Raw genomic sequence first — 12,546 nt, 5'->3', positions numbered from 1 at the left:
GTCTAATGTGGCCCCAGACAGTGGGTGTTGATTTTTCTCTTCAAACATTCTGAAATGGGTTCTTTCTAGAAAAGAGGGCCCGCTTATTTTCCCTAGACAATTGCTGATGTTGACGCCCACTCTGGGTGGTGTTGGGGCGGGAGGGAGAGCTGTTTTAGATAGTTACTTAGTCACGGCTTGTGCGGTTCAAGACTGCTCGGCACTGGGCCATGGAATTTTCCTGAGCATTTTCACTTGTGGGATTTCCAGGCATTAAGTGAGGCCCTTGACAGAGAAGTTGTGGCCAGGTCAGCAGCTCTTGGGGTCAGGATCAAAGTTGTTTCTCCTGGGATGGCCACCAGGACACAGGTTTCTGGAGTCAGAAGACTCCGCAACTCTAGGTAGTTCCCATGAATCAGAAAGAGAGGGAGAGCTAGGCTTTGTCGGGGGATGGGGTACGTGCAGAGCCTGAGAGGGGCCGAGTTCTGCAACACTGGCTGATGAAACACCGTCTTGTCTTCACCTGTCCATGAGAGAATGAGAAAATAGGAAAGTTTTCTTAAAGACCAACATGTCCAATTGAAACATCTGTCCTTTATTCTGAGATTGTCATGCATTCTTTTTGTAACAAATGTTAAAGTGACCATGTCGTTTCATTTTTGAAATGATGACACATTTCAGTGTTCTGTATTTGTTCCCTTTTTTGGCTTTTTCATGTTATTATCAGGCTGAATACGGAGGCGGCTGCCTCGTGTTGGTGCCCCAGTGCTTTTTGGTTTGGGCCACTTTTCCTGGACAGTAAACCCAGGAATACAGGAGCCACCAGTTGGTTGAGTTTGGCTTGCAGGGGGTATCTGGACTGAACTGCCCTTTTGTGGCAGAAATGCCCTCACTTGTTTTAATTCTGTCTTCTCCATGGTGCTCGCCTGGGACTTTAGGAGTGACTGTTGAGCGTGTCTGACGTCCTTTCTCCGTGCTAACCCCAACGCCCTTTGGCTTTCTTCAGCCATGGACTTTCCCCAGCACAGCCAGCATGTCTTGGAACAGCTGAACCAGCAGCGGCAGCTGGGGCTTCTCTGTGACTGCACCTTTGTGGTGGACGGTGTTCACTTTAAGGCTCATAAAGCAGTGCTGGCGGCCTGCAGCGAGTACTTCAAGATGCTCTTCGTGGACCAGAAGGACGTGGTGCACCTGGACATCAGTAACGCGGCAGGTACCCCGTCAGGGCTGGGGCTGAGCTTGCTGATAGCCAGAAGCTATGGCCGGCCCTGTGCCATGCTAGGCCCTCCAGGGGCAGCACCTGCAGGCTGTGGGATGCAACAGGCCTCCCGCACAGGCTTCAGGCCATGAGCAATTCAGTACTAAGTTCCTCCCACCTTTTGGGGGCCTGTTTTGATTGGTAGTGGAGTGGTAAGGGGAGAACGGGCAGGAAGGGCTCATGATGAGCTCTAGGCCGCAGTGAACACAGGAAAGGCCTCATTGGGAGGGGCAGAGAGTAGGCAGGCTCTATGCCCTCTGGCCCCTTTCCGTGGCAGAGTCAGTCCTGAAGCATCTACCCCAGTGCTAACTAGAAGCGTGGGGAGAGGTGATGGGGAAGGCCTAGGGGCTGGGAGCAGTGTCAGGAAGACCTTGGGGTTGTGGAAGGAACTGGTCCTGGATTCAGACTCCCAACCCAGACTGACGTGACATGCCATGAGAAGGTATTATTCTCCCATTTTATAGATGTGGAAACTGAGACCCAAAGAGGTCAGTGACTGGCCTGGAGGTCAGTCAGATAGAGAGTTGGTAGCAGAGCCCTGATGAAAGTCAGGTTGGAGTGTCCTCCACTGGTGAAGTGTAGCGGCCAAATAAGAGGGTGTGGAGGGCAGGTGTTCACAACATCCGTCCTCAATGCAGGGTGGGCATTCACACCTCTGTCCTCATCCAGGGCAGGCATTCACACTCTGTCCTCCCTGCAGGATGGGCATTTATACCCCCGTCCTCTGTGCAGGGTGCATATTCACACCTCCTTTTCTCCATGCATGGGCGGCATTCACAGCCCATCCTCCTCCATGCAGGGCGGACAGTTGCACCTTCTGTTCCCTGTGCAGTGTGGGCATTCACACCTCCTGTCCTCTGTGCAGGGTGGGCGTTCACACCTTTTGTTCTCTGTGCAGGGCAGGCATTCAGACCCTCAGCGAGCACTTCTTTTCAAGGGCTGTTGGTAGTGCTGAGATCCCCCAGGTTACCTGCCTCCTCTCCACAGAGGAGATGGGGCGATGCAGGCTTGCCACTCAGCTGTTCCTAAATCCCTGCGTCCTGCTGCTGAGTGGAGTGGTGGGGCAGGCTGCCGGTGCCGGATCTTGAGGTGGGTCTGTGACAGCTGTCCTGTCCTTGGTAGGCCTGGGGCAGGTGCTGGAGTTTATGTACACGGCCAAGCTGAGCCTGAGCCCTGAGAACGTGGATGATGTGCTGGCCGTGGCCACTTTCCTCCAAATGCAGGACATCATCACGGCCTGCCATGCCCTCAAGTCACTTGCTGAGCCGGCTACCAGCCCTGGGGGAAATGCGGAGGCCTTGGCCACAGAAGGTAGGTTATTGGCAGCTGCTCCCAAGCAGATGGCCAGAGACCTTGGCTTTTGATGTGGGCTCTGCCTCTGACTTTCTGGGTCTCAGTTTCCTCATCTGGCCCTGCCTCGGTTGTGGGTGCTGGCAAGGGTTAGCCTCAGGTCTGAGGGTGGCCTCTCTGCCTGCCTTTCCCCTACAGAGCACCCGGGAGCCGTGCCTGGTTCAGTGCCTTTGCACACGGGCAGGCTCCTAAACCCTCCTGCGGGTCTGTTCTCCTGAGCCCCTCCTTCCACTTCCCTTAGCTGCTAAGATAAAAGCCCTCAGATGCCCACTATGGGCCAGGTGCCTTGCTGTAGACTTCCAGAGGCTGCGTTCCTCCCTTTCCTAGTGCTGACCTCTGATCAGCTCCCTTAGTGCACACATGGGGTCTGCATGTCCCACACAAGCAGGAACCATCACTGTTGTATTCCCAGTGCCCAGCCATCAGCCTGGCATGGAGTGGGTGCCCTGTGAATAATTTGGTGAATGAACAAATCAGCAAACCACTACTTAGAGGTACCCTAGGGAGGACGAGGAAGACCTAGCAAGTTCTGGGCCACCTCACACCTCCAGATGGCGGGCACTTGATGGGAAACGGCAGGTCTGCCCTGTTCCATCTCCAGGAGGGGACAAGAGAGCCAAAGAGGAGAAGGTGGCCACCAGCACGCTGAGCAGGCTGGAGCAGGCAGGACGCAGCACACCCATAGGCCCCAGCAGGGACCTCAAGGAGGAGCGCGGCGGTCAGGCCCAGAGTGCGGCCAGCGGTGAGTCAGATGCCAAGGACCCAGCCGGCTGTCCTGTCACCTCCCAGCAGCCTGGGCACAGGGTAGTGAGGGCTGCCTTGGGGCAGGTAGCACGGGCACCTGCACCTCTTGAGCCTGTGTTACCCAGAATGACCTATTGTGTGTTCCAGGGGGTCTGTTTCAACCAGAGCAGACACAACAGCCTTGGCTAGGGGTGTGCTGGGGCCTCCCCTCCTGGGTCACACGCAGCCACCACCAGCGCGCTGGTCCAGGAGAGGTATCCGACCCCTGGGCAGAGGGTAGCAATCCAGCCTCCGGTGCTTCCCCCACCCAGGTGCAGAGCAGACAGAGAAAGCCGATGCGCCCCGGGAGCCGCCGCCTGTGGAGCTCAAGCCAGACCCCACGAGTGGCATGGCTGCTGCAGAAGCTGAGGCCGCTTTGTCCGAGAGCTCGGAGCAAGGTAGCCCCGCCCAGCCAGGACCAGGCCCTACCTGGTGCATCCTCCCAGGGCCCTGCCTCCACTGCGCACTGGGGCCTCCCTCTCCTCCTGCCTCCAGCTAGTCCCACCTGGAGTCACCATGCACTTCAGCTTTGGGACACCTTGGTCTTCGCATGTTCTTGAGTCTCGAGGTCGTTCCTTGGTTGACCATGCTAGCCGTGTGTCTGTGAGCACAGGCACGTCCTTCAAAGCCCTGGAGCTTCTGCTGCTTCCCGGCTTTCAGCACCGTGCAGGGGTGCCTTGCCACCCACGGCAACCCTCCAGTGCCTGCTGGCCGACAGCGCCCACCCCAGCTGGCTAAGCCCCCTACCTGCATCCCGCAAGCAGCAAATACCCAGTTCACAGGCCCCCCCGGGGGCTTTCCTTGGCCAGTGCTGGGGCCATTTACTGTCCCTTCCACATGTTGCCGGCGCCCCTCACGTGCGCTCAGGCAGAGAGGGCTGCCGCCTCCATGCTTGCCCTTTTCTCCGCAGAAATGGAGGTGGAGCCCGCCCGGAAAGGGGAAGAGGAGCAAAAGGAGCAAGAGGAGCAAGAGGAGGAGGGCGCAGGGCCAGCTGAGGTCAAGGAGGAGGGTTCCCAGCTGGAGAACGGAGAGGCCCCCGAGGAGAACGAGAATGAGGAGTCAGCGGGCACAGACTCGGGGCAGGAGCTCGGCTCCGAGGCCCGGGGCCTGCGCTCAGGCACCTACGGCGACCGCACGGAGTCCAAGGCCTACGGCTCCGTCATCCACAAGTGCGAGGTGAGGGAGACTATGGCCAGCCCTCCCAGCCAGCGTCCCTCCCCTCCGGCCTCCCACCGGCTGCTCCTCACACCCCGCTTCCCCGCTGCACCCACAGGACTGTGGGAAGGAGTTCACGCACACGGGGAACTTCAAGCGGCACATCCGCATCCACACGGGGGAGAAGCCCTTCTCGTGCCGGGAGTGCAGCAAGGCCTTTTCCGACCCGGCCGCGTGCAAGGCCCATGAGAAGACGCACAGGTACTGCCCCAAGCCGGCCTCCTACCCCGGCCCCTGCCAGGCCCGGCCTTTCACGCCCCAGCGAGCCCTGCCTCCTGTCGCCTTCTGGCCCTGCAGCCCTCTGAAGCCCTACGGCTGCGAGGAGTGCGGGAAGAGCTACCGCCTCATCAGCCTGCTGAACCTGCACAAGAAGCGGCACTCGGGCGAGGCGCGCTACCGCTGCGAGGACTGCGGCAAGCTCTTCACCACCTCGGGCAACCTCAAGCGCCACCAGCTGGTGCACAGCGGCGAGAAGCCCTACCAGTGCGACTACTGCGGCCGCTCCTTCTCCGACCCCACTTCCAAGATGCGCCACCTGGAGACCCACGACACGGACAAGGAGCACAAGTGCCCACACTGCGACAAGAAGTTCAACCAGGTGTGCGGACCCCTCCCGGAACCAGCGCCTGGCAGCCGCCGGTGGCCGCAGCCGCATGCATGCCACGTGGTGGGGCGGGCGGGGAGCACAGCCCCGGCCTCCAGGAGCTCATCAGCTTGTTCACCCAGGAAACAGGCGCAGCGAGAGCCACTTCCGCGGGGGAGCTCCCGGTTGCTCTGCGGAGGGCAGGCCGACTCAGGGCGGGGTTTGGTCCTGAAAAAATGGGGTGGGGCGGCTTACCTCTCACCGCTGGGACCTGGGACCTCTCCTGACCCAGGAGAGATAGAGCCCTTCACGGACCCTGGCAAGCCTGAGAGTCAATTGTTCCTTTGTGGGAGGGGCAGGTGAGGGGGCCCGGGGCCGAGCTCTGTGGGGTGGCCCCCCTGACCCCTCCCTGGGCACAGGTAGGGAACCTGAAGGCCCACCTGAAGATCCACATCGCTGACGGGCCCCTCAAGTGCCGAGAGTGTGGGAAGCAGTTCACCACCTCAGGTAGGGCCAGGGCTGCCCTGGCTGCCCTCACACCCCTGCTCCTCGGCCACCGGTGGTGCCCCACGCCAGGTTCGCCCTCGGTCTCGCCACAGGGAACCTGAAGCGGCACCTTCGGATCCACAGCGGGGAGAAGCCCTACGTGTGCATCCACTGCCAGCGACAGTTTGCAGACCCCGGCGCTCTGCAGCGGCACGTCCGCATTCACACAGGTGGGTGGTGAGCGGCCATGCCCAGGACTGGGAGGGCACGGAGAGGAGCAGGCACCAACACCTTCTGCCCGGTCCCCAGGTGAGAAGCCATGCCAGTGTGTGATGTGCGGTAAGGCCTTCACCCAGGCCAGCTCCCTCATCGCCCACGTGCGCCAGCACACCGGGGAGAAGCCCTACGTCTGCGAGCGCTGCGGCAAGAGGTCCTGCCCCCTCCCCCACACCCACTGGCCAGACACCCCACAGTGAGGGGGCTCAGAAGACAAACTGGGGGCTTGGCTGGGGACTGAGCTGACTGCTGCCCACGCCCCAGGCTCTGGTCCTAGGGGTCCTTTTCAGTCTAGAGGGTGAGGCAGGAGGCCCAGGTTGGGGCAGTTCCATGCGAGTCCCTTCCTGTGGCCCCACAGATTCGTCCAGTCCAGCCAGTTGGCCAATCATATTCGCCACCACGACAACATCCGCCCACACAAGTGCAGCGTGTGCAGCAAGGCCTTCGTGAACGTGGGGGACCTGTCCAAGCACATCATCATTCACACTGGTGAGCTGTGGCCCCTACCATGCCTGTTCCTTCCCAGGCCCTGCTGCCAGGTGGGGAGCAGGGGGAAGGAAGGGACCCCCCAGACCCCAGCCTCGGGTGCTAGCTCTTGCTGCAGGTGGCCTTGAAGGCAGTTCTGTTCAAATGAGGACCCCATTTTCCTAGAGCTTCCAGAGGTGCCAGTGTCACCAGAGGCACCCGTGCAGCCACCCCAGAGCACCTCCTGCTGTAAAAGACAGGGTTGCTGGGCAAACGAGTCATTGAGGGCCTCCCACCCCATCCCTGCGGCCCCTTCCCACAAAGGCAAGAGAGAACCTTGCTCCCCCAGGAGAGAAGCCTTACCTGTGTGATAAGTGTGGGCGTGGCTTCAACCGGGTAGACAACCTGCGCTCCCACGTGAAGACCGTGCACCAGGGCAAGGCAGGCATCAAGATCCTGGAGCCCGAGGAGGGCAGTGAGGTCAGCGTGGTCACTGTGGATGACATGGTCACGCTGGCTACCGAGGCACTGGCAGCGACAGCCGTCACTCAGCTCACAGGTGCGGGCTGTGGGCAGCAGAGGGAAGTCACAGGCAGCTTGCTGCCAGGGTGGCGATGATGGGGCAGTGCCCGTGCCTTCACCTTAGGCCCTGCGACTCTGCCCGCAGTGGTGCCGGTGGGAGCTGCAGTGACAGCCGATGAGACGGAAGTCCTGAAGGCCGAGATCAGCAAAGCTGTGAAGCAAGTGCAGGAAGAAGGTGAGGGGGGCCACCCGGGTGTGAATGTGGGCAGAGCCCGGGGTCCTTCCCACTCTGACTGCTGCCCCACCTCCACAGACCCCAACACTCACATCCTCTACGCCTGTGACTCCTGTGGGGACAAGTTTCTGGATGCCAACAGCCTGGCTCAGCATGTGCGAATCCACACAGCCCAGGCACTGGTCATGTTCCAGACAGACGCGGACTTCTATCAGCAGTATGGGCCAGGTGGCACGTGGCCTGCCGGGCAGGTGCTGCAGGCTGGGGAGCTGGTCTTCCGCCCTCGCGACGGGGCTGAGGGCCAGCCCGCACTGGCAGAGACCTCCCCTACAGCTCCTGAATGTCCCCCGCCTGCCGAGTGAGCTGGCGGCCCTTCTGACTGTTTATTTAAGGATGGATGGCACCCTGGAACCGGGAAGGGTGGCCTGTTCCCTAGAGAGAATAAATTGGATTATTTTCTAATGCTGCCTATAGGTCCCTGTGGGGTGGGTGGGGAGCTGGCAGCTACAACTGATGCCACAGAAAGGCTGTACCACCCAGGAACCAGCCTTCCTGGGAAGGTCAGCCCGTCCCTCTTGCTGAATGCGACTAGAATCAGAGCCAGGCTGGCTGCTTTGCCCCAAGTTGAGGAGTGGGCAGTACACTCAGGCTGGAGAGACCTCGGCACCACGTGCCCCATGCCCTCATCCCATCTTGTTTGGAGGCTTCTCACCTGTTCATCTTTAGGGCCTGGCCTCCCCTCGCCCCACAGCTATGACCCTGCTCCCCCTCGGCCCAGGTTGGGGAGAGGTTGGGAAGTTGGGGAAGGGACCAGCAGGGGCGGCCACCAACTGCTTACCAGGGTACAGGCAACCCAGAGCGAGCCTGGCTCACAGGCCACTGCTGCCAGGCCTGGCTCAGGGGTCCTTCCAGCCAGAGTGGCAAGGTAGGCCAAGGAGAGTGCCAGGCCCAGGCCACTGCCCTGGCTCTGATGGGCCTAAGGGAGCAGATGGAAGCCACACTTGCTTCAGGGTTACCTGGCCCGAGGACTAAGGCCAAGCCGGTGCCATCATCTTTTGGGAAGGTTCAAAAGATGGCATCTCTGCCACCAGGCTGGGGGCCCAGAGGGACAGGAAGGAGCAGCCAGGGGCTTTGATGGGGAGGTAGGGAGCTGGTGGAACAGCTTTCTCACTCCTGTCAGCAAGGAGTCAGGAGGTACCATCTCGTCCCCCCACAGTGGCCCCGGCATCTATGGCCCACCGTTCAGAGGGGGATGCTATCTTCTCACACCAGGACAGGCCCATTTGTAGGAGCCCATTGGTATTCCAAGTGAGACCACCAACTTTATAGTCCCCATGTCCCTGTCCCAACTCCACAGCTTCTAGAGAATCCAGCTGCAGGGGAAGCCTGTCCCCAACTCCCATTCTCCTGTCTGGAGGCAGAGACGGGATCAAATGAGCCCCCAGGGGCCCCAGGAGGCCACTGCCTCTGCAGGAGTCAGCCTGCTTCACACTGGGAGAAGGGAAGAGGGGGCAAGAGAGAGACAAGAAACCAAAGCTTGCTAAAATGTTTCTGAGATGGCATGGGGTGTGGTTATATTCTGTATCAAAATTGGAAGTGCCTTCCTTCCACATTACCTAAGAACCAGTTAGGACTCTGAAGACACCACAAGAGTGAGAAATGGTTAAGTTCAGTGTCCGTGACAAAAATCTCCTTTGTACAAGATAAAATTATCCTTGGGGAGGAGGACTGACTGACTAGGAGGCAGAAGGGAAACAGTTCCCATGTACAGACTTGGCATGGGGATCAAAAGCGGGATGAGGGCTGACTGTTCCCATAAGCCAAGGACCCATGGTTCGTCCTCCCACCCAAGTGACAATCACACTCACACTTGGTGTGTTTTATATTTTTTAATAAAGTTTGTAATCCAATGGACACACAAAACAAAACTGCGCTGAGAAAAACAGTTTCATAAATTAATAAGTGTTAGGAAGTTGGGGGAAGAGATCAAGGTAATAGGAAGAGGGGTTAGCCAGTCTTTTTGTACAGGTGCCGTGTGACACTTCCACATCGCGGGAGCAGGACCCGTGCTGTACCGAAGCGCACTTATACAAATGAGTGGGCAATACAAAGTCTGAATATGAAAATAAGATTTCCTCTGAAAACACATTTTTGGCACAGATTAAAAAAAACGTATGTCGGGGGATTTGATTTTTTAAGTCAGTATTATATATATTTATATATATTATATATTTATATATACACACATCCCAAGTTCTGCATATCCCACCAAGAGAAAACCTTTCTGTTTGCTCTTCAACTGTAAACTGTACATCCCGGTGAATCAAAGACGGTGGCAGCAGGAGAATTAAGGTGACGCATCCAAATGAGCAAGGGAGATGGGGGTGGACAAAAAAAACCAATGAAATGTTCCTTGACCCCAAGGTCTCAGCAGAAGTTTGAAGTCCTTCCTGCGTTAAGAGTCTGCAATGTGTGTCTACACACACCAAGACATCCAGAGTGTCACAGCCTGTCTTCACTGGGCAAAAGTCCAAGTCACTAATTTAGTGCAAAGGCAGTTCTGTTTTCTTGTTTCTTAAAAACAAACAAACAAAAAATTTTCATTCCACTGCCCTGTTCCTTTTCTCCAAAAAGAGGAAAGAGAAACCCAGCCCCGGTGTCTGCGAGTCCATGGGTTGGTGATGTGTCCTTGGGCTAAAGCATTATGTAAACATACAAGGTAGCAGCACCACTCCTAGAGGAAGTCTGGCCGACTGAGCCGGGCGGCAGGACAGCAAACGGCTGGCCGTCTGGCAGTGGAGTCTGTCCCCTTCGGCAGCTTCTTCCTCTGCTTGGCTGGGTTGTCCTTTGTTTTTACTGCAGAGCCCTGGGAAGATTCACTGAGGTGATAACCACTCAGTGGCTCACACGGAGGCAATGACAATCATGAGGTGGGGAGAGATGTTGGAGATGCTGGCAAGGAGGTCAGGGGCCAGGCGGGACAGGTGACTCTCAGAGAACTCACAGGGCGGGAAGATCTGCAGCACGTAGGCAGGCTGGAGACAGGATAGAGAGCAAAGTGGGACCGTCTGTCTTCACCCCCACAACTCCACTTCCATTGGGGAGCCCTGAAGAGGCCCAATGCTAAGAGCCAGGCCAAATCAGTCCCCAACCAGCAAATGTGCCAGGACTATGTCTACTGGAAGACCTAGCAGGTGTCAGAAAACTATAAACAGGAACCCCCTGGGGCCCTATCTTTAAACTCATGGAAAACCTGTGTTCTCAGCGGTTCCCTGGGTTCTCTTCAGGATGGGTGATGGCGCCCCGCCCCATGTGCTCTACTGACTTCTGTCCAAAATGCCCCTTTGCCCACCTCTGGGGCCAGATCTAGTGGGCACCAGATGAGTAGGCCCACCTACCCTGATCAGCCCCACCTGTGGGTGTACATGTGAAGGAAGGACACAGGACAACCGACCTGATTGGAGCCAGGGTTGGGAACGTTGATGATCCCTGCCGCCTGCTTGGCCTGCAGGTAAGTGATGAAGGCAGCCTTGAGGGACTCGGTCTGGCTCACAACATCCTCTTGGTCACGGCCACAGGGCAGAGCCAGCAGCAGACAGTAATCTGTCTCCACCTGAGGCAGAGGCCAGCTGCCAGTGAGCAGGGGCCTCCTAGTCAAACAGCAGCCCACATCCAACCCACAGTATCAGGTCCACAAAAACCCCCACCTCTGAGATGACTTTAAAGGCTACCCTGATATTTGAATGAAAAAAAAAAAAAAAAAAAGCTTTTTTTCAACCTGAGAAAGCTGATTTAAAAAATAATAATTTTTAAAAACTGTAAAGCCTTGTTTCTGGGTCTAGAGGTACTTTACATCCCCCCACCAAGTAGAAGCATAGTGGACCCTTCATTGCTCACTTCAAGAATACCGTTACTGGCCAGGCACAGTGGCTCAGGCCTGTAATCCCAGCACTTTGGGAGGCCAAGGCAGCCAGATCACTTGAGGTCAGGAGTTCAAGGCTGGCCTGGCCAACATGGTGAAACCCCATCTCTACTAAAAATACAAAAAATTAGCTGGGCATGGTGGTGCCATGGTGGTGCGTGCCTATAATCCCAGCTACTCAGGAGGCTGAGGCAAGAGAATGGCTTGAACCCGGGAGGCAGAGGCTATAATGAACAGAGATCGCACCGCTGCACTCCAGCCCAGGCGACAGAGACTGTTTCAACAACAACAAGAATACAGTTAATGCTTCCATGACAGGCCAGGGAGATGGGCTGGCAGGGACTACCTACGTCTTCCTCCCTGTAGGTGGGGCAGTTGCTCACCTGGGCCTGAGAGTCTTACCGTCATCCTTCGGGCAACCCCTTCCAGCTGCGTTGCCTCCAGCCGCATCCTCTGGGCGATCCTTAGTGGGGGCCCTCCTTCAGAAAGGGGCAGGGACCGATGGGCCAGGACGTTGTTGCCAGAGACGAAGTGGAGCTGCACAGCAGCTGTGTCATTCTTGAGGGCCAGCAGGCCCTGCCACACGATGGGGTACTTCTGCTCACAGGGAAACAAACAGGAAGTGAGCTCATGGCCCCTCGCTGAGCCATGCTGGACACAGCCAGAGGCTGTAGCTTGTGGGTCTGTTAACTAGGGAATCTTAGGACATTTGACATGGCATAAAACTTGGGGGCCAGGAAGGGCAGCCCCTGCTCATGCTTACCTTCAGAAGTTGAACCATATCCACGGGTCTCTGGGAAGTCAGGTGTGGAGAGGAATCTTGTTTGGGGGCTGGCTGGAATTCAGTGTGTGGCAGAACCAGTCCTGGTGGGGTGCTGGGGCCAGAGGTTGTTGGGACAAACAACGGCTGTTTTGGGGCAGTCTGAGTGGGAAGAGAGACTGGAAGGTCAGGCTTCATGGAGACAGACACAGGGGAGGGGAAGGAAGTCGGGCCTGTTTCTGCTTGTGCCCTCTGAACCTGGGTGTGAGGCTCAGGTGGCCTGTTTGCAGGTCCAGCTGGGAGGCGAGGCTGCTCTACTCCCGTCTGGGTCCCCTTTGCCTCCTGGGACACTTGAGGCATCTTGCTGCTTGGTGGCTGGCCGGGCTGACCGAGCTGGGAGGGCGGGCAGGGTGGTGCAGGCTGGGCAGGCTGTGTGGACTGCACAGGCTGAGGAGGCTGCAGGGGCTCACCTTCAGGAGGAGGGCCCTGGTGTAGGGAAGGAAGGCAAAGGGACAGAGTCAGTCTGTTGTGCACAAGCCCCTGAGACCAACAAATGACCCAAAGGGCCACAGGGAAAGGATAAGATGTGGCATCTCCCGTTAAGTCAGGCCCACAGAAGGAGCCTGAATCAACGGAGCTGCTTTCGGGGTTCCAGGTAAGGAGAGATCCCCTATTACCTGCCTCCTGCTGATGCTACCCAGCAAGAGCTCCC

The 12,546-nt window shown here is 57.7% G+C and overlaps 2 protein-coding genes across 11 annotated transcripts in view, besides 3 other annotated features; one reads left to right on the top strand and one right to left on the bottom strand.

Moving 5' to 3' along the window:
* Positions 1 to 7,614, top strand: part of ZBTB17 (zinc finger and BTB domain containing 17) — a 34,233-nt gene extending 26,619 nt beyond the window's left edge. The window contains exons 3-16 of one of the 10 annotated variants that reach the window (NM_001287604.2): positions 986 to 1,188; positions 2,360 to 2,548; positions 3,189 to 3,329; positions 3,643 to 3,768; positions 4,281 to 4,546; positions 4,644 to 4,786; positions 4,883 to 5,183; positions 5,588 to 5,675; positions 5,768 to 5,884; positions 5,964 to 6,084; positions 6,289 to 6,419; positions 6,745 to 6,954; positions 7,063 to 7,152; positions 7,231 to 7,614. In NM_001287604.2, coding sequence (NP_001274533.1) covers positions 2,383 to 2,548; positions 3,189 to 3,329; positions 3,643 to 3,768; positions 4,281 to 4,546; positions 4,644 to 4,786; positions 4,883 to 5,183; positions 5,588 to 5,675; positions 5,768 to 5,884; positions 5,964 to 6,084; positions 6,289 to 6,419; positions 6,745 to 6,954; positions 7,063 to 7,152; positions 7,231 to 7,514 — 2,184 coding nt within the window. In that variant the 5' untranslated portion in view covers positions 986 to 1,188; positions 2,360 to 2,382 and the 3' untranslated portion in view covers positions 7,515 to 7,614. Of the gene's footprint in view, positions 1 to 985; positions 1,193 to 2,359; positions 2,549 to 3,166; positions 3,330 to 3,642; positions 3,769 to 4,280; positions 4,547 to 4,643; positions 4,787 to 4,882; positions 5,184 to 5,587; positions 5,676 to 5,767; positions 5,885 to 5,963; positions 6,085 to 6,288; positions 6,420 to 6,744; positions 6,955 to 7,041; positions 7,153 to 7,230 lie in introns of those variants that run through there. The other 9 variants (NM_003443.3, NM_001287603.2, XM_047429978.1 and 6 more) reach the window with 9 other exon arrangements.
* Positions 79 to 248: an enhancer, noted in NCBI's record as "active region_253". NCBI's record gives its function as "activates an Ori minimal core promoter by ATAC-STARR-seq in GM12878 lymphoblastoid cells {active_cell/tissue: GM12878}" and the evidence as "EXISTENCE:reporter gene assay evidence [ECO:0000049][PMID:35858748]".
* Positions 849 to 958: an enhancer, noted in NCBI's record as "active region_252". NCBI's record gives its function as "activates an Ori minimal core promoter by ATAC-STARR-seq in GM12878 lymphoblastoid cells {active_cell/tissue: GM12878}" and the evidence as "EXISTENCE:reporter gene assay evidence [ECO:0000049][PMID:35858748]".
* Positions 6,160 to 7,359: an enhancer, noted in NCBI's record as "CDK7 strongly-dependent group 2 enhancer chr1:16268619-16269818 (GRCh37/hg19 assembly coordinates)". NCBI's record gives its function as "activates an origin of replication core promoter dependent on BRD2, BRD4, P300/CBP, MED14 and CDK7 cofactors, with strong dependence on CDK7, by STARR-seq in HCT116 cells {active_cell/tissue: HCT116}" and the evidence as "EXISTENCE:reporter gene assay evidence [ECO:0000049][PMID:35650434]".
* SPEN (spen family transcriptional repressor) overlaps positions 9,027 to 12,546 on the bottom strand; it is a 92,750-nt gene continuing 89,230 nt past the window's right edge. Inside the window, exons 12-15 of the mRNA NM_015001.3 lie at positions 11,838 to 12,320; positions 11,477 to 11,671; positions 10,607 to 10,765; positions 9,027 to 10,187 (exon numbers count right to left, since the gene is read on the bottom strand). Of these exons, the coding sequence (NP_055816.2) occupies positions 10,056 to 10,187; positions 10,607 to 10,765; positions 11,477 to 11,671; positions 11,838 to 12,320 (969 nt within the window). The 3' untranslated portion in view covers positions 9,027 to 10,055. The remainder of the gene's footprint in view (positions 10,188 to 10,606; positions 10,766 to 11,476; positions 11,672 to 11,837; positions 12,321 to 12,546) is intronic.

Source organism: Homo sapiens, chromosome 1 (assembly GCF_000001405.40).
Source record: "Homo sapiens chromosome 1, GRCh38.p14 Primary Assembly".
NCBI classification, from domain to species: domain Eukaryota; kingdom Metazoa; phylum Chordata; class Mammalia; order Primates; family Hominidae; genus Homo; species Homo sapiens.
Note: the sequence above shows the minus strand (reverse complement) of the source record. Positions and strands in the feature narration are given on the sequence as shown.